The sequence below is a fragment of the Homo sapiens genome, chromosome 22 (assembly GCF_000001405.40).
Source record: "Homo sapiens chromosome 22, GRCh38.p14 Primary Assembly".
In the NCBI taxonomy this organism is placed as follows: Eukaryota; Metazoa; Chordata; class Mammalia; order Primates; family Hominidae; genus Homo; species Homo sapiens.
The window spans coordinates 29320111-29346476 of record NC_000022.11 but is presented as its reverse complement, the minus strand read 5'-3'; the positions used below and the strand labels follow the sequence as shown (position 1 = coordinate 29346476).

Genomic DNA, 26366 nt, shown 5'->3' with positions numbered 1-26366 from the left:
TTGTGTGTTCCTTATGAGAACCTAATGCCTGATCTGAGGTGGAGCAGTTTCATCCTGAAACCATCCCCCAACCCGCATCCCCTATCTGTGGAAAAATTGTCTTCCACAAAACTGGTCCCTGGTGCCACAAAGGCTGGGAACCGCTGCTGTAGGGGTGTGCTTCTGCCCCTATAATAGGGTCAGTCTTTTGCAGCTAAGCCTGCTAAAAAGCTAGAATGAGAGAAGCTGGACAGGGAGAGGTAAGCCAAGAGTCTGGTGGTGTGAACAGAAACAGAGCTCTGAAGTTTGAGATCCAAGCTCCTCCTCCCTGTTGTGTGGCCTGGAGCACAGTTACTTGAACTCACCAAACCCATTTCCTTGTCTCTAGTGCAGTTATTGCAAAGACTGCTGGGCCTTGTTTGTAAAGTGGGGGTGTGATGTAATTCAGTAGCCTGTTCACTTTGCATCTTTGGTTCACAACACAGTTCAAAGCTCTTTTAAGAATACTTGTTAGGGCCAGGCACAGTGGCTTACACCTGTAATCCTAGCATTTTGGGAGGCCAAGGCAGGCAGATCACTTGAGGCAGGAGTTTGAGACCAGCCTGACCAACATAATGAAACCCCGTCTCTACTAAAAATACAAAAATTAGCCAGGCATGGTGGTGTGCGTCTGTAATCCCAGCCACTCAGGAGGCTGAGGCAGGAGAATCGCTTGAACACGGGAGGCGGAGGTTGCGGTAAGCCGAGATCGCACAACTGCACTCCAGCCTGGGCAACAGACCAAGACTCCATCTCAGAAAAAAGAAAAAAAACAAAACAAAACTTGTTAACTGGGTGCAGCGGCTCACGCCTGTAACCCCAGCACTTTGGGAGGCCGAGGCAGGAGGATCTTTTGAGTCCAGGAGTTCGAGACCAACCTGGGCAACATAGTGAGACCTCATCTCTATAAAAAAAAAAAATTAGCTGGGTGTGGTGGCACACCCCTGTAGTCCCAGCTACTTGGGAGGCCTAGGTGGGAGGATTGCTTGAGCCTGGGAAGTTGAGGCTGCAGTGAGTCAAGATCACACCACTGCACTCCAGCCTGGGCAACAGACCGAGACTCCATCTCAGAAAAAAGAAAAAAAACAAAACAAAACTTGTTAACTGGGTGCAGCAGCTCATGCCTGTAACCCAGCACTTTGGGAGGCCGAGGCAGGAGGATCTTTTGAGTCCAGGAGTTCGAGACCAACCTGGGCAACATAGTGAGACCTCATCTCTATAAAAAAAAAAAAATGAACTGGGTGTGGTGGCACATACCTGTAGTCCCAGCTACTTGGGAGGCCTAGGTGGGAGGATTGCTTGAGCCTGGGAAGTTGAGGCTGCAGTGAGCCAAGATCACACCACTGCACTCCAGCCTGGGCAACAGAGCGAGACCTTGTCTCAAAAAAAAAGAATACTTGTTTAGTGCTTGACGATTTGGAGTTTTTTGTTTGTTTGTTTTAGTGGCGAAATCTCACTATGTTTTGCCCAGGCTAGCCTTGAACTCCTGGGCTCAAAGGATTCTGAATAGCTAGGACTATGGGCCTGCACCACTGCACCGGGCTTGACAATTATGGAACTCATTTTATATTGTCTTGTTGAATCTTCTCATCCTTGGCTCCTAGGCCTCTCTAGCCATGGACAGCAGACTTAGAAAGTCTTGGTCAGCAGCTGGGCTCACGCCTGTAATCCCAGTACTTTGGGAGGCCGAGGTGGGTGGATCACTTTAGGTCAGGAGTCTGAGACCAGCCTGGCCAACATGGTGAAACCCATCTAAAAATACAAAAATTAGCCAGGTGTGATGGTGTGTGCCTGTAATCCTAGCTGCTCGGGAGGCTGAGGCAGGAAAATCACTTGAACCCAGGAGGCGGAGGTTGCAGTGAGATGAGATCATCCCACTGCACTCCAGCTTGGGCAGGAGAGTGAGACTGCATCTCAAAAAAAAAAAAAAAAAAAAAAAAAAAATCTTGGCCAGGGTGGTATATCAGCCCAGCGTCTGGCCCTGTCCTGCCATCCCATCCTGTCTGGATGGCAGGGGCAATGGCATTATTGCAGAAGGCTGCCCTAAATATGCAGGCTAACGGCCTGAGTGTGTTGAGCGTGTTGAGAGGAACTGGAACGGATTGTTGAGCCAGGGCCCTGGGCACCTGGCCAGACCTCCCTCTGGCAATACAGCCTGAGGCATACCTGACTGGAACCACAGCAGATCTGACAGTGATGAATAATTCCAGGCATCCGGCTGACTGGACTGGGAAGAACTCTTTCAAGAGTCCCTGTGTGATGGTAGTGGTGATAATGACTGTGATGATGATAGCTGTTCTGTAGTGAGCAGAATACACAATGCTTCTTTACTTTTTTTTTTTTTTTTTGAGACAAAGTCTCGCCCTTGTCCCCCATGCTGGAGTGCAATGGCGAGACCTCGGCTCACTGCAACCTCTGCCTCCCGGGTTCAAGCAATTGTCCTGCCTCAGCCTCCGAGTAGCTGGGATTACAGGTACCTGCCACCAGGCCCAGCTAATTTTTGTATTTTTAGTAAAGACAGGGTTTCACCATGTTGGCCAGGCTGGTCTCGAACTCCTGACCTCAGGTGATCCAACCACCGAGGCCTCCCAAAGTGCTGGGATTACAGGTGTGAGCCATCACGCCTGGCCACTTCTTTACATTTGTGGTTTCATCAACTCTCCATTAACGCTGTGAGGTGTAATGACTGTTTTATACGTTAGGAAACTGACTCAGAGAAGCTAAATGACTTGCCGAGGGTCTGTCAGCTGAGAAGTGATAGAACTGGAGTTCACATAAGGTGTGATCTGACTCCAGCTCCAAGCAAGCTGCCATAAGTTGCTGTTTTTAAAGCTCACAAGAATCCCTGAAGTAGGCCACACCTCTCCTTTACAGATGGGGGTAAACGGCTTCCCATTGGCTGCCCAGGCAGGGCTAGAGTCTGGAAGCCAGATGCTGGGCTGCCTCCTGCCTTGGAAACAGCCAGCCTACTGCTCATCTGCTGCTGGCCCCCATGTAACCAAATTGCAGACTCTGGTTCACCCCAGAATTGGAGGACCACGTGCCCTCCATTCTGCCTGCCTCTGTCAGCCTTCCCTGCACAAGTGCCCTCCTGCTGGGCAGGTGCCAGAGATGCCGTCAGCACGGCTGCTGCTGGGCTTCCTGCACTGCCACTCCTGCCCTCCTGCTGCAGACCTGTCCCTGGCACAGCCTATGGGCTCCCACTGCCCCTGACTCCGGGAGCATCAGGCTGCCCCCTTGTCCTAGGACTAGCAAAAATGAGACCGTGACTAAGGAAGGATTATGTGCAGAGACTTGTTCTCGCATAGATGTTTCTTCAGTCAGCAAGTATTTCTTAAGTGCCTGCTATACACCAGGCACTAGATTGGGCAGTAATTAGTGACACGACAGTAAGCAAGACAGACATCACTCCAGCCCACAGGGGGCTCACTGTACAGGATAGCCAGCAACTGGTGGCGCTGTGACGGGGTGGAAGAGGCTGCAGAAGCATGGGGGGTCTGGAGGTGGGGTTGGCATGAGATCTGAAGGGTGAGGAGGTGTTGGCCAGGATGAGGGCAGCTTTGGGTATGTCCAGGCATGTGGCAGGGGCCGGTGGAGGGCCACCAGGAATAGTTCCAACCCTCTGGTAGAAGCACAGGTCCTTGACGGCAGGCTCTGTGGGCCCTGCTGCCCCAGTCCCCTGGGCCTCCATGGGACTGTCGCCACTTGTTGACAGATGGTCCTGATAAGAAGCACTCCAGCCACACATGTGAGCTTCTCATAGTTCTGTGAATTCTAGAGCTCCAACAGGTTTCTAAAACCCTAGGGCTGGGCAGCGGCCCCTGGCCTACTTGGGTTTGCCAAATAGTCCAGTATTCAGCTCCTTCCTGAGTGAGTGATGCCGAGGTCTGGCTGCTCAGCGGCACCAACACTTGTGGCAGCCCTTTGCCTGTGTGCCGTGACAGCCCCAAACCTAGAATAGCTATGCTTGGCTTCCAGGGACTTTGAACACCCTATTCCTCTTCAAGCCTTTTTGTTCTCCCTCTATCCCCATGTGAGGCCCACACTTCCTCCTCGTCACCGCTGTTCCCTGCAGGTCCAGCTGCAGCTGCTGACAGCCATTGTGAAACTCTTTCTAAAGAAGCCAACAGAGACCCAGGAGCTGGTGCAGCAGGTCCTCAGTTTGGCCACTCAGGTGGGTGCCCCAACCTCCCCGCTGTGCCCAGCATAGCCCTCACTCAAGCAGGGGAACTTTTGTCCCAGGAACTAGACCTGGAAGCCAGGCCCGCTCCTAAGACAGGTATCTTGTGGGTGGGACTGGCTTCCAGCCCCAGAGTTACCCAAGCTCCCTGCCTTCAGGGTGCTTAGAACACAACACAAAGTGCAGTGAGGTCAAGTAGTGAAGTTGAGACAAACTAGACAGAGGAGGAGGGCCCATGGAAACCTGAGGGTGTGTGTTGGGGGCAGGAAGGGCAGGCCACAGAGGGCGGTTGGGAGTAGAGACAGGCATGGCCAGGCTGGAGTAGAGTACCATGGGGAATGAGCCCGGGGCCAGGGCATGGCCCTGTAGGTGGTATAGGGGCAGGCTCATGGGAGCACTCAGGACTGCTGTCCCCATTGGCCACCCCTGTGCCGCACCTGGCTCATGGCTGCAGGAAGGTCTCCTCCCTTCTCACCTGGCTACTCTGAGTTTCATGGGCTTCTCCTCACCCCCACAAGGACTCAGATAACCCAGACCTGCGGGACCGTGGCTACATCTACTGGCGCCTGCTGTCCACGGACCCGGTGGCAGCCAAGGAGGTGGTGTTGGCTGAGAAGCCACTCATCTCTGAAGAGACGGACCTCATCGAGCCCACACTGTTAGACGAGCTTATCTGCTACATCGGCACGCTGGCTTCCGTCTACCATAAGCCTCCCAGTGCCTTTGTGGAGGGGGGCCGGGGCGTCGTGCACAAGAGCCTGCCACCTCGCACGGCCTCGTGAGTGAGACTGGCCAGTCGGCCTGCGCCTTCACACTCTGCTTCCCCAGTTTAGCAGCACAGGCACTCAGGCCTGGCGTGTTGTCCCCCAGCAAGACCTGAGTCTGAGGAAAACTGACAACCTTTTATCAGCTATTTATTGTACACAAGGTATTTGCTAGATGACCTCATTCCAGCCTAACGACAGTGCTGAGAGCAAATGTCCCCATTCTTCAGGTGGGAACAAGAGACAAGGAGAGCTTGAGGGACTGGTCCAGGATCTCACAGCTAGCAGAGCTGGGACTCAGACCAGTTCTGTCTCATTCCAGATCCCTGTCTGCGCCTCCTCCTCTGTTGTTCCCAGGTGGTTGGTGTGGCCTGGTGGCACCGTCCTAGGGCACTGGCATCCAGTTTTCTTCTTAGCATGGGCTGAGGGCTAGAAGCAGGCGGCCCTCTCCCTTCACTCATCCTCACGGAGGACCTGAAAGATGGACCTGCTGTGGGAATGGGAATGGGGAAGAAGTGGGGCCGTGTGGACAGCCCTGTCGGGGACAGTGAGGAGACTCAGTGCCTGTCCTGGGGGACAGCTCTGCCTGGAGGCTGGGGTCTCTTTGACCTTCCTGAGACATCCTGATGCCTCCACCCTACTTCTGTGTCCCGGCAGGAGTGAGAGCGCAGAGAGCCCTGAGACAGCCCCTACTGGAGCACCTCCTGGGGAGCAGCCAGATGTCATCCCCGCCCAGGGCGACCTGCTGGGTGACCTCCTCAACCTGGACCTCGGCCCCCCAGTGAGCGGCCCACCCCTGGCCACCTCCTCGGTGCAGATGGGAGCTGTGGACCTTCTTGGCGGTGGCCTTGACAGCCTGGTATGTTGTGGGCCCCCTCTGGATGATGTTGATAATGATCCTCAGAGGAGCAGTCACTGAATGCCCCTCCATGCCAGGCACCAGCTGAGTGCCTCAGGTACATTATATAGAGTCCTTACCATTTACCCTTGGAGGTGATTGTGTAGCTCCCTACTTATGATGAGAAAACCAAGGTTTAGAGAGGCCAGGCAGCCTTCCCTCCGAGGTCGCACAGCCCCTGAGAGGCAGACAGGATTCCACTCCCTTGTTGAACCTTCGAGTCCCAGGAGACCCTGGGCAGGGAGGCGCATCCTAGCCCTTGCCCTGATCCTGGCATCACAGTCACCTTTGCCCTGTAAGGCTAGGGTGTTCCTGGCTTTGAGGAATCAGACTTGTGTCCACTTACCCTTATGCAGCGCCAGCTGGGAATAGCAGCCCATCCAGGCCTATTTGAGAGGGCATGGGAGGCCGGGGAGAGAGGGGAGTGGGAAGACAGTAGGGAGGGGAGTGGTGAGACTGACTTGGGTATCTCCCTGGGGCTTCCTCAGGCAACTGGCAGGACCATGTGTGGGGGCGCCTAAACCTCTTCATTTGGCTGTGCTCGGCTCAGGTCCGCACGGTGGCAGCACGGGGGCAGGACACTGGTGATCAGTGCTGCTAGGGTGAGGCAGGAAGGGCTGTGGTGCAGGACAGGTGTTGGGGTAAAGGTGTGGGGTAGTGCCTTTCATAGAGACAGGGTCTGGGCCTCTCGCCAGACCTCACACCACACTCCTCTCGGATGGAGCTACCGTTGACTAATCTCCCTCTTTCCCTTCTCTCTCTTGTTTCTCTGTCTTCCTTCCTGGCTTTTTCTCTCTGCATGTGGCTGCCTGTTCTCTTCACCTGCCTGCTTCTGCTTGGAGATGGGGGATGAGCCTGAAGGGGTATGGTTCAACCCTTGCGTCACCAAGCCTTCGTCCTTGCTCCTCCCGAAAGCGCTGGCCCAGCATCCCAAGGGGCGGGGGCGGGTGATGTCACAGCAGCCTCCACCTGCTGAGCCCCTGCCTTGGTCCAGCATCCTGGCAGCCTCTGTCTTGACCACCTGGCATCCGGCTGCCACTGGGCCCCATAGCCATGGATTCTTGCCCAGTCCTCACCACCCCATGACACGTCGCCTTGTCATCGCGGGGATTGCCAGCCCTCAGTCCCACAACCCTTCTCTGATGTCCTGGAGGGAGAGCACCCATCTGCGTAGCATGTCTCCACCCAGCCGTGTGTCTTGGGACCTCCTTTTATCCATAGGCTGAGCGTCAATTTGGGAGTGTCCCCAGCCCTTTCCCAGAGGTTACTCCTAAGGCTCAAGGCTTGCAGGGCACGGGAGGGCTCAGCCTCTCTTCTCCACCCACCTCTCTCTGTCTTGTTTCTGTAATTTAGAGTTGATATGGAGGCTGTCCTGCCCCCTGCCCCCAGTGTCTTCTAAAGAGCCAGGTGGCTCTACTCATTCCCAGACCCTGATGTCTTTGCCTCTTGACGCCCACCTCTGACTCTTTCCCTCCCTTTCCAGATTGGGGGCACCAACTTCGTGGCACCTCCAACAGCAGCAGTACCAGCCAATCTTGGAGCACCCATCGGCAGTGGCCTGAGTGACCTCTTTGACCTGACCAGTGGCGTGGGCACCCTGTCAGGATCATATGTGGCCCCCAAAGCAGTAAGTCACTTGTCTTCTGTCTTGGCGGGAGCAGAGAGAAGTTATGGAGACTGGCATGTGGGCTCCTTTAAATGGCCTCGGCTGTGGAATTGGCTCAGGCCAGCAGTGATGAGGGAAGCTGGGGGCCACAGGGGCACCGAGGAAGAGGAGCTAAGTCAAGCTTGGTGGGTACCTAGGAAGGCTTTCCAGAGGAGTCGCAGGACCTCAGTAGCTGAACAAAAGCGGATAGGGGCTCCAGACCAAGGGAACAGTCTGTGGTAAGGCCTGGAGGGAAGGGAGACCACGGCCTTTGTGAGGGAATCAGCAGAGGCCTGTCAGGTGGGAGCAGTAGTTCTCAGTGCCATCAGACTCAGCACCCCTTAGTCATCATAGACATTTTACATTGTCACCATTCCTCTCCTTAAATGCAATTGGTGGGCTGTGTAACCTACCTACACATAGCATTCCAAAAATACTCAGATGCTTTCACTGCATGGAGGAGACATAAAAGGGAGAGAATACAAGTGTATGTATCAATGTTATAAACGTCTGGGCACGCCTGCCCGCTCACCCCAGAAGACATGAAGTTGCCAGGTGTTTGCTGCAGGGCAAAGTCACTGTGACTGTGGCAACCACAGTCTGGGTGTTTGTAGCCTGGACCCCGTGAATGGTTTGGCCAGTGGTGCCATTTGTTTCTGAAGTGGTCACTGACTCCCAGTAAGGTTTGGAGTAAGATAAAGAACAGGCTTCCCTCGATTTTCCTGAGAATTGTGTTCCTGGAAGTCTCAGGATATGTTGAAACCATGCAGAAAATACTGGAAGGATGCAGGACAGTTGCTTGTTGTGGGGTGGTTGTCCCCATGGTAGGATGTCCAGCATCCCTGACTCCAGCCCACTACATGTTATGCCACCTGAAGATGCCCACAGATGCCCACTATGCCACCTAGGGCACACCCCCAAGACTCCTGGCTAGACTAGGGATCAGTGAAGGAGGAAGCTGGCAAGGCTGGCGGGCCAGGCTGAGCGTTTCTTCTTGATCCTGGCACAGCCGGAGCCATTGGAAAGTTTTAAGCAAAGAGATGAACCAGTCTGATTTGCACTTGAGAAAGATGGCTGCGTCTGCAGGGAAGGGGTGGGGCAGAAGCACCGGCCCCGGGGGATTCCGTGGCAGGGAGGAGGAGTGCTGGGGCAGCTGGACCACGGGGGCTCTTGTGGGTGGAAACAGCGGCCAGACTTGAGAGCTCCCTGGGAGGGAGGAGCCGGGGCTGAGGGAAGGAGAGTTGAGTTTGGGATGTGAGGACATGCGGGCCTGGCACTGAGGAGAGCTCAGTGTGGGCCATGTTGTCAGTGTCAAGGAAGCTGCCAGAGGGGACCAACCAGGCCTGATCCCCTCATCACACTCAGATCAGAAGTTGTGTTTGCCAGAGCTCCCCTCTCTCTTCTGAGGTCCCCACCCCAAAGCAGGATACAGTTGGCGGTCAGGGGCAGTGACAGCTCTGTCATGACTAGGGAGCCATGAGCCAGCACCTCCCCACCCCCTGAGCTGGCTTTCCCCACCATATGCCAGCTGCACCTGCAGTGGTGGTGACTGGAGCCCCTGGCAGGGTCTGGGCACTGAGAGGCCCACAGCAGACAGCAACTCGGACACTAGTAGCCGCACACTTCCTTGTAGGGACAGCACAGCATTCCACAGCCACCGCCAGCACGTCCTCCTCCCAGCAGCCCTTTGTGGCTCTTCCTCCTATTTCGTGGTTGAGAAATCCTAGTGCTTTTGCCTAAGGTCACATAGCTGGTGACAGAGTCTGGAAGTGAAAGCAAGTGACACTAAAGCCTCTGCTCCAGACCCCTATATGATGGTCCCCACAGAGCGTGAGAACCACCTGTGCACCTGCCTTCATGCGTGGGGTGTCAGGGCCAGCAGGGCCACGGGAACGTAGAATCGCGGCATAACGTACAGCATGTGCAGTTGACTTACTACCTGGATTAGCTGCACCAAGGCATGAGGCCAACTCGTACTCACCAGAAGCCCAATATCACAGGCATACAAAGCAGGACTAAGGGACAGAGAACAGCAAAGACTCCTGTAACCCTGTGGGTGCCAGCCCTTGCCAGGCACTGCAGAGCTGCCAGGAAAAATAAGCCTGGAGCTGGCCTTTGGCAAGCTGGCACTAGGCTTGTGTGTTCATCTTTTTTTTTTTTTTTTTTTGAGACAGAGTTTTGCTCTTGTCACACAGGCTGGAGTGCAATGGTGCGATCTCAGCTCACTGCAACCTGTGTCTCCGGGGTTCAAGCGATTCTTCTGCCTCAGCCTCCCGAAGTAGCTGGGATTACAGGCACCTGCCACCATGCCTAGCTAATTATTTGTATTTTTAGTAAAGACAGGATTTCACTATGTTGGCCAGGCTAGTCTTGAACTCGTGACCTCAGATGATCCACCTGCCTCGGCCTCCCAAAGTGCTGGAATTACAGGTGTGAGCCACTGCGCCCAGCCATGTGTTTGTCTTACCAGTGTTACCCCTGCTTTGTCTTCGTGAAGGGTCAGATGAGTGTATCCAACAGAGCATGCTGGAAAGGAGAGGGGAGGGGATCTCCTAGTCAAGAGTCATCAGGGCAGGTTGCCTGGAGGAGGAGTTTTTCTGCCACGGGCAGGACTTTCCCCACTGCCTTGGTCATGGGAGGGTTCTAGGGTGTGGGTGCACTATCCCTTCAGAATCACTCAGTAGGTATCCACATCTTCCTAACAGCGCTGTGGCCACCTGGAATTGTTCATTCCTCATGCATTTCCACACCCTGCTTGTGGGGTTACAGACATTGGCCAACCATGTTGGTCTAAGGAATGAGGCTGTCTGTGCATAAGAACTTTTGGGTTCCTCACCATTTGAGTCTGCTGGTGGTGACAGTTCATTGGTTCATCCAGTAAAGATTGAAGATGGTTCTGTTGGGACCTGTGTGAGATGCCATGAACCCATAGTGACCAAGAGCAGTGCGGTCTGCATCCCCAGCCTTGGGCGACTGAGAGAGGGCCAGGGGAAAGGAGGCCTGATTGGGGGGCCCCTGGAGAGTTGTCCATGAGAGAGCCATGCCCCCCGGTCAGGTTCAGCCAGCTTCTGCGTACTCTCTCAGCCGCCGTGGCACAGCCAAGAACAAAAGCAGGGTGCTTTCTGTCCTCACAGATCTGTCCGGGGGCGTGCTCAGGGTTAACCGAGCAGGATGGGGGTGGGGAGGCGCTTTCAAAGCAGAGGGAACAGCCAGTGTGAGGTCCCAGGGGCAGGGGCAAGCCAAGCCTGGGGAGCAGATGGGCACCAGGCTGTGGAGGCCAAGGCCCGTGGAGGCCATTGCAGGATTGGAAGGAGTTTCTCAGGGTGCCATGATCAGATTTGCATTTCACAAGATAACATCAGCTGCTGTGGAAAGGGGGAGAGGGTGGAAATGGGGTGCCACCTGGCAGCTGCTGTCTTACCTGGGAAATCTGGTGGCAGCTTAGATGCTGGTGGCACCTCTGGAGATGGAGAGAAATGGAGGCCCTGGAGGCAGATGTAAGAGGTGGCCTTCACAGGACTTGGGTTGCGTGACTGTCTCAAGGGGGTTAGGGTGGGGTGGGGGGCTGGTGCCTGATGTTTCTGTGGTTTCTGGCCTGGCAACCTGAGAGACAGTGGGACCTTTGTTGGCACTGAGTGCGCTGCGGAAGCTGTCGGTGGGGTCTGAGCCTTTTCACCTCAAGGGGCCTGTGAGCCGTCCACAGGAGAGTAACCGCCTGAGAGGCGTTTGTGAGCCCACAGGATGCCGCTGGTGGATGTCTTCCATGGCAGGGCTCTAACTCATCCTGTTTGCTCAGCAAACACTCCCCAAACACTGGTTTCACACCAGGCTCTGAGCCAAGGTGGTAAAGACAGAAAAACAGAGCCTTTCCCTCAGCGAGCTCTCTGAGTACAGGAGAGACAGACACAAGCTCATATTTATCTGCCATAACATCACTGGGGCGAGGGAACCTGGGGGCAGGGTTCCAGGAGGAGGTGGTTCTTGAGCTGAGACTTGAATGACAAGGGCAGCCAAGCAGCAGAAGGCCTGCCAGGCGAGGGGTCCTCTTAGGTACTGTCCTTGGTCAGACCAGTTTCTACAGCCAAAGGCCAGCCCTGCCTCCTGCAAGGGAGGACAGGCGGTGATGGCCAGGAAGGCCCAGATTCTGGCCGAGGCCCAGGATGCCATTGGGCACTGAGCTCTGTCCTTAGCTCATGGCATCCCTCAGCCCTACTTCCCAAGTGATCCCTCCATTGCCAGCTCATGGCCTCCCTCAGCCCTACTTCCCAAGTGATCCCTCCATTGCCCTCTGAGGACTCAACGTCAGCCCTGGAGCGCTGAAGTGCCTCCCCACCCTGAGCTGCTCCGAGAGGCAGCCTGTCATGGCGGTGGCCCTAGATGGTACATGGGATTGTTCTGTTCCCAGTACACACCTGTTCATCCCCTAGCAGTAAAGGTGGGGGTGCTGGATCTGGGAGGCCCCTGCAGGAGAGAGAGAGAAAAAGCACCCTCAGGTGGGCTGTTGAGTTTGGGCTGCAGGAAGAGGCACCTACCCGCCCCCTCCGCACCCTCTTCCCTGCAGGTCTGGCTCCCAGCCATGAAGGCTAAGGGGCTGGAGATCTCAGGCACCTTCACCCGCCAGGTGGGCTCCATCTCCATGGACCTGCAGCTGACCAACAAGGCCTTGCAGGTCATGACCGACTTTGCCATCCAGTTCAACCGCAACAGGTGAGAGCTCCCTGAGGCCAGCGCACCTCTCAAGAGGAGGCCTGTGAGAGAACCCACTCGGAGTCTGTTCTGGGGACTGCAGGCAGGGGTGGGGGCTGTAGAGGGGAGGGCAGTGCCCCTTTTCTGAAGGATGTTCCCCACCACCGCTCAGGCCAAAACTCTCTGAAGCACTGGGTTTTGTTTGTTTGTTTTTTCTTTTGGAGACAGAGTCTCACTCTGTCACACAGGCTGGAGTGCAGCAGCGCCATCTCGGCTCACTGCGGCCTCCACCTCCTGGGTTCAAGCAATTCTTCCGCCTCAGCCTCCCGAGTAACTGGGACTACAGGTGCACACCACCACGCCTGGCTAATTTTTTGTATTTTTAGTAGAGATGGGGTTTCACCATCTTGCCCAGGCTGGTCTCGAACTCCTGAGCTCAGGCAATCCGCCCACCTCGGCCTCCCAAAGTGCTGGGATTATAGGTGTGAGTGACCGTGCTCAGCCAAGCAGTGGGATTTTTACCCCCAAGTGGCCTCTTCATATGGACTCCAAAGTACCAGGCAGAGTGGGAAAGGACGTCTTTCTTTTTAGTTTTTATTTTTTTTGAGATGGCCTCAGTGTATTGCCCAGGTTGGTCTTGAACCCTTGGGCTCAAGCAATCCTCCTGCCTCAGCCTCCTGGGTCTCTGGGACTACAGGTGCACGCCACCACACCTGGCCCCCCTTATTTTTGCCTCCACAGTCCAAAGGAGTGTTTTACAGACAGAAACGCCCTGCTCCAGCTGAGAAGCCCACCTCTGGCAAACACCCCACATAGGAGGGGCCCATCTTAGGGACCAGCTCTCAGAAGGCTGGTGGGGAGTGGGCCTGCCTACCAGCCTCCCCATTGTGGCAGAGGATTAAAGTGTCAGATGGGGCCTCTGGGAGCGGTAGCTGCTTCAGGCCCCTCCCCACCGGGTCCGCTACACTGGGTGTCAGTGGGAAGGTTGCGTCATGGACCCAGCCAGTGAGGCTAGGACTCCCTGGGGACCCCTGGCAGCCCCTCCTGATGATTCTTCTTCCTGAGCACGCTCATGATGAGCAAACTGAGCCTCTAAGAAGTTGACTGAAGGGGCTGCTTCCCCAAGGAAGCCTGGGGGCCAGTAGGTCCTGACCCTTGGGCAGACCGGGGCTAGGGGTGGCTCTACCACTTACCCTCATGTGACCCTGGAGGCCACAGAAGTGCACCAGGCTCCGAGAGGTGGTTCCAATGGTTGCCTCTAGCAAACTTACTGTGTGCTGAATGCTTCCTGGGCACCCAGGCCCTGTGGCACCGGCTTTGGGAGTATTGTCTCACTTGAGCCACTTGATGGCCCAGCAAAGTCACTGCCATCACCCCTTTTTAGTAGGTAATGACACCTGGGCTCCTTGGACAGCTCACATAGCGAGCAGTAGTGGAGCTCCCAGGAAAGCCTAGTGTGCTGAGCCACCAAGCGGACCTGGGGTTCCCCAAATGGTCTCCCTCTGTGTCCCAGGCAGGCTGATGGCTTCTTGGGCAGAGCACAGGCTGGGGTCAGACAGCCCAAACTCTGATTCTCAGCAGCGCCCTCACCCTATGGGGTCTGACACAGGCCTGCTCCTCCCTGAGACGGTGTCCTCATCTAGAGGATAGGAAGAGGTGTACCTGGCTCTGTTTTTATGAGGCTAGGAGCAGGTATAATATTGAATCCGCAGCCCAGGTATACCGAGCCCTCGGTTTGTGCCCCCAGTCCCATGCCCTGTGACTTACCTTCCAAGAGCCTGCTGCTGGCGTGTCTCACACCCATGAGGATCTTCCTAATTTGTCACTGTGCTGCTTTGCAGAGAAGCAGAGCTTTCCTGAATCTCTCTGTGGCCACTGTGTGACCTGGCAAGTTCTGGCCAAGAGAGTAAAATCTAGCGTCTTGCTTGGGATGGTCAGATCCCTTCTGGGAGTTGAGGATTGGCAGCAGAGACTTGGGTGGTCCCAGAGTTTTCAAGGTAGAAGCAGCTTATACTCCAGGCCCCTGGCATTAGACAGAGCTCCTTGAGGGCAGGACAGGGCAAGGCCTGCCTACCTGGGCCCACCAGTGCCTGGCCCAGAGGAGAGGAACAGAGCTGGGCTTCAGGCCTGCAGCCAGGCTGGGGCAGAGCAGAGCAATTGGCCTGGGGCTCTTTCTTTCTGTCCAGATGGCCATCTGGGGGAGGGGACCCACAGCCCATCCTTCTGTCCAGGGTCCAGAACATGGGAAGGCTGGCACGGTGAGAGGCTCCCTGCCAACCACAGCCCCAGCTCCCGAGTCGGAGGAGCTCACCTGTCCCGCATCAGCACCTACTCCCCCTGCCATCCCTGTGGGGCTTCTCTCTCCCCAGCTTTGGCCTGGCCCCCGCCGCCCCCCTCCAGGTCCACGCGCCACTCAGCCCCAACCAGACAGTGGAGATCTCCCTGCCTCTCAGCACGGTGGGCTCGGTCATGAAGATGGAGCCTCTGAACAACCTCCAGGTGGGTTCCGGGCAGGGCAGGCACCCCAGTCCTTACTCACCTACCAGCCGGGCCCCACTGGGGTCAGTAGAAGGTCGTGTCTGCGGAGTCATGCTCTTAGCTGCAGATGTGTTGGGGAGGCCCAGGTTGGGGAACGAAGGGGTGTGTTTACCAGGGAAGGCCCTGGGAGAGAATCTGCTCAGTGACACTCTTCCTGGGGCCTCAGAGGTGGCGTCAAGCCCCAGAGACTGACTGGGGACCCCCTTGTGCCTAGGTGGCCGTGAAGAACAACATCGATGTCTTCTACTTCAGCACCTTGTACCCACTGCACATCCTCTTTGTGGAGGACGGGAAGATGGGTGAGTCATGAGGGAGCCCGCTGGGGTGCCTGAAATGGGGCTGTGGCTTGGGAACCTGGCCAAGGTGGTGCCTTTACCAAGGTCCAGATGGACTGCCTTGCCCGTAAATGGAGTCGGGGAGTTGCTGCTTCCCTGCAGGGCCTGGAGTGAGGGGTATACCCAGGACCCCCCCGGCCTTAGTGGCCAGTTCTGGTCTGGCAGGTGGGCTGTGCCACATGGAACTCACCCCACTCCCAGGCTCTCCTGCTCGCTCCTCAGCCTTGTCCCATGGGCTGCAGCGAGCCCAGGTCATGCCCCACACCTGGTAACCCCCTCCTCTGTGCCCTTTCTGGAACCCCCAAGAAGGGTGTTGATCACAGCACACAGACGGCCTGCACCCTGCCCCTGGCTGCGTGGAGCCCTTGGCCCATGTCATCTCTTGCTTGCCACAGAAGGCCTGCATGGGAGGCTGTGACTAACGAGCAGGCTGCTCACCGAGGAGGAGGAAGGCGTGTGGGGGTGGGGAGGGGAGATCCAAGGCCTGGAGGCAGGAAGCCAGGGTCATTTGGAAGCGGCACTGGGGCCTCCCTCACAGAGCGGAGGGTGTGCTTAGGGAAGCAGGAGGGCTGTGCGGCAGCTAGTGCCTGTTGTCAGCTTTCACGTGGCACAGTAAAGGCCAGACCCATTTCCTGCTGAGCTACAGAGGGCCCACAGGTTTATGAGGGGCTCGCCTCTCATCCCCACCCTGCTCACCCCGCAGACCGGCAGATGTTCCTGGCCACATGGAAGGATATTCCCAATGAGAATGAGGCCCAGTTCCAGATCAGAGACTGCCCCCTCAATGCAGGTGAGGACTCCGAGCCCCCGACCCCAGCCCCTCGCCTGTACCCAGGCCCCCGCGCTGACTGGGGCCTCTCACGGCCATGTGACCCCACAGAGGCTGCGAGCAGCAAGCTGCAGAGCAGCAACATCTTCACTGTCGCCAAGAGGAACGTGGAGGGCCAGGACATGCTCTACCAGTCCCTGAAGCTGACCAACGGCATCTGGGTGCTGGCGGAGCTGCGGATCCAGCCGGGCAACCCCAGCTGCACGGTGAGAGCCCCGGCACCCGCCCTGCAGCCTTGGAGCCTCCCCTTCGTCCCATGCCAGGGGGTGGCCCTGGTGGAGGACGCGGTCCAAGCGTCCCTTCAAGCCTGGCTTGAACTAGAATCAGTTTGGTCCCTGAGAAGGACCTTTCTAGAAAGCTTCCAAATCAACCCCGTCAGGTTACCCAGATAAGACACCAATTGGGTCTCGGAACAGTGAGTTGGACTAGAAGATTGTGTAAAATTGGGCCCTGTAAGGTGGTGCAGTTGGTTTGGCACCCCTGACTGGGAAGTGACATTGCTGGGCACAGGCCCTGGCCCTGTCCTGTGAGTGCCTGCATGTCCAGCTGGGAGGACAGTGGTTCCCAGGAGCCTGAACCTCCCAGCCTTTGAGGTAGACCTGTTAGAGAATGGCTTCCCTGGGGCACACAGTTGTCCTGGAGGCCTGCACCGCTGTTCCAGGGCCCCGGACAGCCCCAAACTCTGCTTCTCCCCCACACCCCTGAGTCTCTGGCAGGCATGGCCCTCCAGACACTGCCCCTCCTGGGTCCTGCTGGCAGTGCTGGTCGGTGGGGGGCTGTGGCGTGGCTTCGGTGGTGGTAACTTCCGTCTCCCTGTGTTTGGTTGCTGCATGTCACCTTCCCTGCTGGTTCCCGTGGTGCAGGACTTAGAGGTTAGCAGATCGCTTTCTCTTTCCCCGTCCGCCCTCCCCAGTCTTGTCTCCTGTCATGGCCCCCATGCACCCCATGTCTCCTGTCTGCACCTCATCTCTTGGCCTCACCTCACCCGGGGGGCTTCAGCCAGGTGGCCCTGATTGAGGTGCTGACACCCCACTTCCACACATTCACAGTGTGCACAGAGTCCTTCCTAGGAGACCTGGAGGGCCCGTGGGCTGCTGCTGACCTGCGGAACTCCATTGTTCCCACTTCCTAACTGCACCCTGCAGAACCAGTGCTTTAGAGTGGATGGGTGGGGGCTCCTCTCTCCTCTGCCTGTGATCTCAAGCTCAGGCCCCAGAGCGGAGGCAAAGTCTCTACCGTGCCTGCTTCCTACGCAGGAAACCAGGAATGAGCCCAGCACCCCTCCAGGCTCCCTCCCAGCCCTCCGCACCCCCTCGGGATTTTCTGTCAGGCTTCAGTCCTGAGGACCCCAGACCTTCAGGGACTCTGGGGGGCCGGGCAGCCCTCAGGGTGGGGGCCGGGCACTCCCTGGCAGCCTCCGGCTCGTGACTCACACTGCTCGCCAGCAGGGCTCTGGTGACTGGGCTGACAGCAGGTGTGTGGGCTGCAAGTATATTTGGTCCACACCCGGCTGGCTGCGACAGCCGCCCCCTCCGCTTTACCTCACATCTGTGCCAGGCGCAGCTGCCGCCAGGCTGTGTGCACTCCACGCTGTCCCATTGGTTCCTGCTCTCTTCCCCACCCCTTTCCTTCCTGAGAGGAACCCCAGGGATGAGCGCTCTTTCCCCCGACCCCTCTCTCCCCTGCAGCTGTCCCTGAAGTGTCGAGCACCAGAGGTGTCCCAGCACGTGTACCAGGCCTACGAGACCATCCTCAAGAACTGAGACCCCGGCCAGCGCCCACCCCAGCCTTCTGCCCGCCCCATCGAGGAGGCCCCTCGGGGGCAGCACATCTTCCTCCTCGCAGGAGGGACCAGGCGGGGCTCCAGGCCACTCAGTGGGCTCCCTGGTCCTGATGGCAGAACCCACCCGATCCCTGGGGTAGGGCACCACCCCCTCCTGGGGTGAGAGCGCAGTGCACTCCCGTGCTCTGGGACACCCCTGCTCCTGTGGCTGTGATGTGGGGTTAAGTGAGGTGGGGACCAAAGGAAACAGAGCCAGAGCAGCCACAGAAGCTGTGCCTGAAGGGTGAGTGTGGAGCTTGCCCCTCCGGCTCACAGCCCCGGCAGCCCCTGGCTCCTTGGTCTCTCCGGTTGGTGTTAAAGGGCCCTCCACTGCCACCTCTCATGGGATGGACCCTGCCAACCTGGCCTGGGTGTGCAGGGAGGGGTTCCCCTTGGTACCAGGAGAGCTGCTCACTTAGGGCCTGGGGCTCAAGGAGCTGTAGGTGCCGGCAGAGGGGCAGAGCTAGGCTGGGAGGAGCCCAGGGCCTGCACCACCCACTTGCAACCACCAGGCTGGTGCCCTGCAGCTGTGCCAGTTGGGCCACAGCCTCCCGAGTGCTGACCCACATGGTCAAGACCAGGCAGAAGCTCCCAGAGCCCCTGTCTCGGGCTCCCCACCGACTGGCAGCTGCACTATCCCCAACTCCCCACTTCTGCCCCAAGGGTGGTCACTGCCTGTGATACATTCCTCAGTGTCGCCTCTGAGCCCAGGCCTCCTGCCACAAAGACTGGGCCGAGAGATGGGGCTGGGTAAGCGGGTGCGCCTCCTGTTTGGGTTTCTTCGGGGTTTCTCTGTAGTGTCTGCTGCCCTCCTCCTGGCCTCCCAGGTTTCAGTTGTGTCTGACAGAGCATTAGGTTTTCCTGTTACTGCTGTGTAATAATAAAGAAAGATTCGGCTTTTGGCAATCACGGACACTTTTTTCCCCTCCACCGAATGTCAGGATTGAAAGCTGCCTCCGAGTGGTTGGGGATGGTTTTCTGACCCTACGGTAACTAGATCTAATATATATCATCAGAAAATATATATTGTATGTTTACTCTTATTTTCAGAAAGAGAAAATGAATAAAAATGATGACATCAAGTGTGTCCCCAGCCAGTGTGTCAGGCCCGAGGCTCTTCTGGGCAGGAGTCCCGGGCTGCAGGGACCCCAGGGTCAAAGGCTCCAGTGGTATGTGCGGCAGCAGCCCCTCCCGTGGCACTCTGAGGACAGCGCCTTCCCTCCATCCTATCCTTGGCAAACTGACTGCTGCGGCCTGCTGCTGTCCCTGACCCCTCTCCTGCCATTGATCCCACCTCCCCCAGAGCTGACAATGCCTCGCCTTGTGATGCTGGCCAGAAGGCTGGGCTCCCCTTGTGGTTTTCCCCAGCTCCCTGCCATCTGGGAGGCTCCAGGGGCCGTGGGAGATCCCCTGATCAGGGGCAGCCGTGGGAGAGGGGGTGGGCGTGTGGACCAGGCCAGCCGCCACCGAGGACACCTTGTGTGGCCCCAGTCCTGGCACTGGCCTGGCTCCCAGTGAGGGTGGCCAGACCCTGGGCAGGGCTTCATCGGCTGAGCTGCCTCCTGGCTGGTGGGCCTCAGCCTGCTTCTGAGGGAGGAGCAGCCCAGGTGTCCCTCAGCCTGTTTCAGCTCCAGCCGCTCCCTCGTGTTCTGTCTGCACTTAGTCCCCCCACATGCTGCCCACCTCACACACACCGCTGCCTTCCTGGCTGCTGGAAGCTGGGTGAGACAGCCTGCCCTCTTGCAGGGCATCACAGGGGCACCTGGCCCTCCACTGCCCCACCTCTGACCTCTGTGGTGTCACTGTGCTGCCCTGGGGACCCCAGGGTCAAGGGCTCGAGCTGTGTGCCCAGCTGTGGCCCCTCCAAAGAGTCCAGAACCAACCAAGGCCCTTGACTGTGCAACCCTGGTTCTTGCCTCGCCTGAGAGTCTCTGCCCAAATGCATCTGGAGTCCCTGCCCTGCCATGGAACTAGAGGTTGGTGAGCCCTTAATGAGAGGGACTCTCACCCTGCCGTGTCGTCTGCCTCCCCTGAGCCCAATACCTTCGCACTCTGCCTGGGAAGCAGCTGCACGGGCCACCACGCCCATGGCCTGCCAGCTCAGCCATTCAGGGAGCTTGGCACTTCACCTCCCCACCCCTCCATTGCAAGGTCGGAAGAGTGCAAGTGTGGGATCGCTGTCCCCACCGGAGGCCCAGGACAAGCCACCCGGGTGAGGAGAGCTGGCAAGAAAGGAGGACCATCCCTAGACACCTTGTGTTTGAATGAGTCTGCTCAAGCCTCAGGTGATTGTGAGCGGTGCCTCACTACAGTTGGGCCCCTCTTTCACCCCCACAGTGCTCAGCATAAGGCGACCCAGCATATACTGGACTAAGCATATAATGCGGCTTAGTTTACATGCAGGGAAACTGAGGCAGGGAGGGCCTTCATGCTCCCAGTCCCCCACACTACTGCATCAGGAGAATAGACACACAGGATGCTACTTTGGGCCCCTGCCTTTAGGAAGAGTACCTCAGGGCATAGCCAGTCTGTGCCCTTCAGCTTCCCTGTCCCTCCCTCACCTCTGAGGGTCATCACAGGCCGCCTCCCTCCTGCTCATGTGGCACTTCCTGGTCCTGACACGCTCAGGCCTCCCCGTCTCGCCTCTTGGAGGCCTTGGCATCCCGCAGCTTGGGGAACTTCCCAGACTTTTCTTGGGAAGATTCCCAAGTGTCTTGAACCTTCCCAGCCAATCAGGAAATCCAACAACAGCAACCAGTTATTTCTGGAGGGTCCAACACATACCCAAGGGCCGATGGGCTCCCCTGTGCACCAGACACTGCCAAGGCTGTTGCGGGACCTGGTTTTACGTTGTTTAATTTTCAGCTAGTGGTTTGCGTTCATTTTTGTGGAGCAAGTAATTCAGGACCATGGTGAGGTCAGCCAGCCAGAGAATAAAGTTCTCCCTCCCACCCCATCCTCAGTCCTTAATTTTCCTCCCTTGAAGGCAGACATTGTCACTAGATTTTGATTTTCCTCCAGGGATATTCTGCACATGTGTATAAGCAAATCCATATAGAGTTTTACTAAACGAATGATGGCCTACCTAGACACTGCTAGCACATCGCTTCTCTGACCTGACAGTCGTTTCTGGAGCTCTTTCCCTATCAGTAGGAGCAGACCGCCTCAGGCTTCCTTGTGTGAATGGGCCACCGTTAGCCAGTCCCTGCTGCGGGGCATTCAGGCTGTTTCTGCACCCTAAGCAATGCTGCAGCGAATACTTCCCACATACACCCTCCTGCCTGGGCAGGGATGTAGCTGTAGGATCTAGCCCCGGAACTGCTGAACCAGAGGGTATACCCAAGATGCATTTTCTATTTTAGTTCTTGTTTTGAAAAGGTAACACATTCACATGGCTCAAAATCTAAAGACAAGACAGATGTAAAAACCTACCCCTTTCCCTCATTTTCCTCCCCAAAGGAAACCACGTAATTATCCAAAGAGACTTGGCAGTGCCTAATTGGATTTTTTTCCCTTCTTGTGTGGAAATAGTAGCACGGAATACATGTTGGGCTTATATCGCAGAGGTTTTTCCATTATTAGCCCATTACAGAGAGTGTCCTCATGCCTTTTTTTTATTTTTTCATTTTTAAATTTTTATTTCTTTTTTGAGATGGAGTCTCACTCTGACGCCCAGGCTGGCGTTCAGTGGTATGATCTCAGCTCACTGCAACCTCTGCCTCCCAGGCTGGCGTTCAATGGTATGATCTCAGCTCACTGCAACCTCTGCCTCCCAGGCTCAAGTGTTCCTCCTGCCTTAGCCTCCCAAGTAGCTGGGATTACAGGCGCCCGCCACCACGCTTGGCTAATTTTTGTATTTTTAGTAGAGACAGATTTTCGCCATGTTGGCCAGGCTGGTCTTGAACTCCTGACCTCAGGTGATCTGCCCGCCTCTGCCTCCTAAAGTTCTGGGATTACAGACGTGAGCCACTGCACCCAGCTGCCTTTTTTTTTTTTTTTTTTTTTTTTTTTTTGAGACAGAGCCTTGCTCTGTCGCCCAGGCTGGAGTGCAGTGGTGTAATCTCAGCTCACTGCAACCTCCGCCTCCCAGACCCAAGTGATTCTCCTGCCTCAGCCTCCCAAGTAGCCGGGATTACAGGAGCACACCACCATACCCGGCTAATTATTTTTTGTATTTTTATTAGAGATGGGGTTTCACCATGTTGGCTAGGCTGGTCTTGAACTCCTGACCTCAGGTGATCCGCCCTCCTTGGCCTCCCAAATTGTTGGGATTACAGGCGTAAGCCATCGCACCTGGCCTTTTTTCTCTTCTTCTTTTCTTTCCCTTTTTTTTTTCTTTTTTTTTGTGACAGGGTCTCTGTTGCCCAGGCTGGAGTGCAGTGATGTGATTACCACTCACTGCAGTCTTAACCTCCCAGGCTCAAGTGATCCTCCCACCTCAGCCTCCTGAGTAGCTGGGACTACAAATGCGCACCACCACACCAAGTAAATTTTTGTATGTTTTTGTAGACGGTCTTGCCGTGTTGCCCAGGCTGGTCTCAAACTCCTGGGCTCAATAACCTGCCTGCCTCAGCTTCCCAAAATGCTAGGATTACAGGCATGAGCCATCGCGCCTGGCCCTTCCCATGTTTTCAATGTGCCTCTTTGCATGTGTTTTTGAGCCACTTGTATGTCCCTTTCTGTGAGCTGTCTTCACATTTTCTGCCATTTTTCTATCTGATTATTGATCCTTTTCTTACTGATTTACCATTATTCCTCCCTATTTTGTTACTGCTTTTTACTTTTCCATGCTGAAATTGGGCTTTTTAAGATGTAATTTTCTTTTAATTTTTTCTTTCTAGTACTTGTCTGCTCTTCATTTTTGCATTTCAATCCTGTTCCATCTGGGCTTTCTGTAGGAATGAGGTAGGGATCCAACTTCCCTTTTTCCCCAGATGGTTCCCCACTTGTCTCCACACCATTTACTGAATAATTCATCTTTTCCCCACAGATTTGAAATGCCATTTTTATCATATTCTAAATTTCCACATATATCTGGGTGTTTTTCTGGACTCTGTTCTATACAAGATAATTTGTCTATTCATGTTTTGATAACTTTTATTTTTATTTTTATTCATTTATTATTTTTGAGACAGGGTCTCACTCCTGTCACCCAGGCTGTTGTGCAGTGGTGTGATCTGAGCTCACTGCAACTTCCACCTCCCAGGCTCAAGCAATCCTCCTGCCTCAGTCTCCCAAATAGCTGGGGCTACAGGTGAGAGCTACCACACCTAATTTTTGTGGTTTTTGTAGAGATAGGGTTCCCCCACGTGGCCCAGGCTGGTCTCGAACTCCTGAACTCAAGTGATCCACCCGCGTTGGCCTCCCAAAGTGCTGGGATTACAGGCATGAGCCACCATGCCCAATCATTTTTTATTTTTTGAGTCAGGGTCTCACTCTGTCACCCAGGCTGGAGTGCAGTGGCATGATCATAGCTCACTGCAGCCTCGAACACCTGGGCTCAAGCGATCCTCCTGCCTCAGCCTCTCAAGTCATTGGGATTACAAGTGTGAGCCACAGCTCCCAGCCATGTTTTGATAACTTCTTGTACCCTCTTATTCCCATTTCATTCTATTTGAACTTTAGAACTAGTTTGTCCTTAAAAAAAAATTGATCGTATCATTTGGATCACATCAAATGTTTATTTATGGAGAATGGCCTTGTTATGATGTCAATAACAATATTGGATCTTTATATGTAAAGAACAGGAGTAGATGCTTTCCCATTGATTCAGGTTTTCTTTTATGTCTCTGTAATATTTTAAGTTTTCTTCATGTAAAAGTTCTTTTTTTTTTTTTTTTTTTTTTCAGACGGAGCCTCCCTTTGTTGCCAGGCTGGAGTGCAGTGGCACGATCTCAGCTCACTGCAACCTCCGACTCCCTGGTTCAAGTGATTCTCCTGCCTCAGCCTCCCAAGTAGCTGGGATTACAGGCATGCGCCACTGTGCCCAGCCAATTTTTGTATTTTTAGTAGAGACGGGGTTTCACCATATTGGCCAGGCTGGTCTCAAACACCTGACCTCAAGTGATCTGCCTGCCTCAGCCTCCCAAAGTGCTGGGATTACAGGCATGAGCCATCATGCCTGGCCGCCCATTTCGGTTTTTTATTCGTGTTTCACTAGTTGTGCGCTCGTGTCCTCTTTCTGTTCCAGAATCCCACATTCCACGTGGTACTCATGCCTCCTTATATCTGTGAGAGTTTCTCAGCTATTCTTGGTGTTTCATGACCTTGACTGTTTTCAAGGAGTCCTGCTTGGGTATTCTGTAGAAAGTCCCTCAGTTTGGGTTTGTTGGGTGTTTTTCTCATGGTCAGCCTGGGATTATGGTTTTTTAGAAAGAATACCACACAGGTGACTTTTCCTACGCATCATAATCAGGGTGACATGCTATCGACATTTCTTGTCACCTCACGTTTGCCTGGATCACCTAGCCAAGATAATGTTTGCATGTTTGCAGTTTTCTCTACCGTGAAGTTACTTTTCCCCTCTTTATTTTTTATTTTATTTATTTTTTTAAGACAGGGTCTCATTCTGTCCTCCAGGCTGGAGTGCAGAGGCATAAACACAGCTCACTGCAGCCTTGACTTCTGGAGCTCAGTTGATCCTCCCACCTCAGCCTCCCAAGTAGCTGGGACTACAGTCACACACCATCACACCTGGCTAATTTCATTCAATATTTTTTTTATTATTATTTTTAGTAGAGAGGAGGTCTCACTATGTTGCCCAGGCTGGTACTGAACTCCTGGGCTCAAGTGATTCACCAACCTTGGCCTCCCAGAGTGTTGGGATTACAGGCATGAGCCACCGTGCCCGGCCATCCTCCTTTATGTACTCTATTCTTTGGAAGCAAATAACTAAATGTAGCCTACACTTTGGAAAGCGGGGTGGGGGAGTAGCTACATGGAAGTGTTTGGAATTCTTCTTTAAGCAAGACTGGTTTCTTCTCAGATGTATTTTTTTCCCCTGGGAGCAAGCAAGCTGAATGATCACATTTATTCATTTATTTACTCAGTCATTTATATCAGTTTGGACTCATGGATATTTATTTTATAATCTGGGCTTAATCCCATACAACATTATTTACTTTGTTGCTTGAATTGTTGCAGGTTTGGCCACTGGGAGCTCCTTCTGGAAGGTTCCTATGTCCCTGTGACATACCACCATCCTCGTTTTTGAGCACTTCCCTCCTTTCTGCCACCATAAGTGGCTCCAGGATCATCTTGTACTGGTCCTGCGCCAACCCTAGAAACAGTCATCTCTCCAAGGAGCGTGGTTCCTTTCACTGGAAAACCATATTAGAAACCAGGAGCAGCCAGGCTGGGCGCGATGGCTCATGCCGGTAATCCCGGCCCTTTGGGAGGGCGAGGTGGGTGGATCACCTGAGGTCAGGAGTTCGAGACCAGCCTGACCAACAAGGTGAAACCCAGTCTCTATTAAAAATACAAAAATTAGCGGGGCGTGGTGGCAGGCGCCTTGTAGTCCCAGCTACTCAGGAGGCTGAGACAGGAGAATTGCTTCAACCTGGGAGGCCGAGGTTGTAGTGAGCCGAGATCACGCCTCTGCACTCCAGCCTGGGCAACAGAGCGAGACTCCATCTCAAAAAAGAAAAAAAGAAAAAACAGAAACCAAGAGCGGCCAGGCGTGGTGACTCACACCTGTAATCCCAGCACTTTGGGAGGCCCAGGCAGGCTGATTGCTGGAGCCCAGGAGTTTGAGACCAGCAAAACCCTGTTTCTACAAAGAAATGCAAAAATTTAGCCGGGTGTGGTGGCCTATGCCTGTGGTCCCAGCTACTCAGGGAGGCTAAAGTGGGAGGATTGCTTGAGCCCTGGAGGTCCAGGCTGCAGTGAGCCATGTTTGTGCCTGTGCATTCCAGCCTGGACAACAGAATGAGACCCTGTTTCAAAAATAAATAAATAATAAAAAGGAAAGAAACCAAGAGCTAGATGCTGGATGTATTCACTGCCACTGGGTGTCACTTCTTCCAGGCCCTCTGCTGACAGAGCTAGAAAATATATGTGTGCCTGTTTACCCACGTATACACACATATGCCTCCATTATGTTTTGTATTTGTAGCCATTTACATAGAAAAATGGAAGTTTTATATGTACCAATTTTGTCTCCCCAAACTTAACAAGTTGTCTTGTTTTTCTCTTTGTATCATCTCATTGCATCCCACAGCTCAGTGAAGTCAAGAAAATTAATATTTCTTTCACAGAGAAGGAAGCTGAGAAGCAGAGGTGTTTTTTTGTTTGTTCGTTTTTTGTTTTTTCGAGACAGGGTCTTGCTCTGTCACCCAGGCTGCTGTACAGTGGTGTGATCATGGCTTACTGTAGCCTCGACCTCCAGGGCTCAAGCAATCCTCCCACCTCAGCTTCCTGAGTAGCTGGGACCACAGGTGTGCACCACCACGCCTAGCTAATTTTTTTTTTTTTTTTTTGAGACAGAGTCTTGCTCTGTCGCCCAGGCTGGAGTGCAGTGGTGCGATCTTGGCTCACTGCAACCTCTGCCTCCCGGGTTCACGCCATTCTCCTGCCTCAGCCTCCCGAGTAACTGGGACTACAGGCGCCCACCACCATGCCCGACTAATTTTTTGTATTTTTTAGTAGAGACG

At 54.8% G+C, this 26366-nt stretch overlaps 1 protein-coding gene and 1 non-coding gene across 9 annotated transcripts in view, besides 1 other annotated feature; both read left to right on the top strand.

The window, feature by feature from the left end:
* The window catches only part of AP1B1 (adaptor related protein complex 1 subunit beta 1), a 60891-nt gene extending 42094 nt beyond the window's left edge, over window positions 1-18797 (top strand). For 2 of the 8 annotated variants that reach the window (NM_001378565.1, NM_001378563.1), the window contains 11 exons: window positions 4094-4192; window positions 4717-4976; window positions 5620-5821; window positions 7344-7487; window positions 12067-12212; window positions 14561-14690; window positions 14944-15028; window positions 15768-15854; window positions 15945-16099; window positions 16757-16765; window positions 17582-18797. In NM_001378565.1, the coding sequence (NP_001365494.1) occupies window positions 4094-4192; window positions 4717-4976; window positions 5620-5821; window positions 7344-7487; window positions 12067-12212; window positions 14561-14690; window positions 14944-15028; window positions 15768-15854; window positions 15945-16099; window positions 16757-16765; window positions 17582-17656 (1392 nt within the window). In that variant the 3' untranslated portion in view covers window positions 17657-18797. Of the gene's footprint in view, window positions 1-4093; window positions 4193-4716; window positions 4977-5619; window positions 5822-6702; window positions 6724-7343; window positions 7488-12066; window positions 12213-14560; window positions 14691-14943; window positions 15029-15767; window positions 15855-15944; window positions 16100-16756; window positions 16766-17581 lie in introns of all 8 variants that reach the window. The other 6 variants (NM_001378564.1, NM_001378562.1, NM_001127.4 and 3 more) reach the window with 5 other exon arrangements.
* SNORD125 (small nucleolar RNA, C/D box 125) lies at window positions 13219-13314 on the top strand. Its single transcript, NR_003686.1, has one exon. It is a non-coding gene; the product is annotated as a small nucleolar RNA, C/D box 125 (small nucleolar RNA).
* Window positions 15161-16117: an enhancer, noted in NCBI's record as "H3K27ac-H3K4me1 hESC enhancer chr22:29726349-29727305 (GRCh37/hg19 assembly coordinates)". NCBI's record gives its function as "activates a minimal SCP1, AML or CMV promoter by ChIP-STARR-seq in naive H9 embryonic stem cells {active_cell/tissue: H9 hESC(naive)}" and the evidence as "EXISTENCE:reporter gene assay evidence [ECO:0000049][PMID:30033119]".
* Window positions 18798-26366: the final 7569 nt, after the last annotated feature.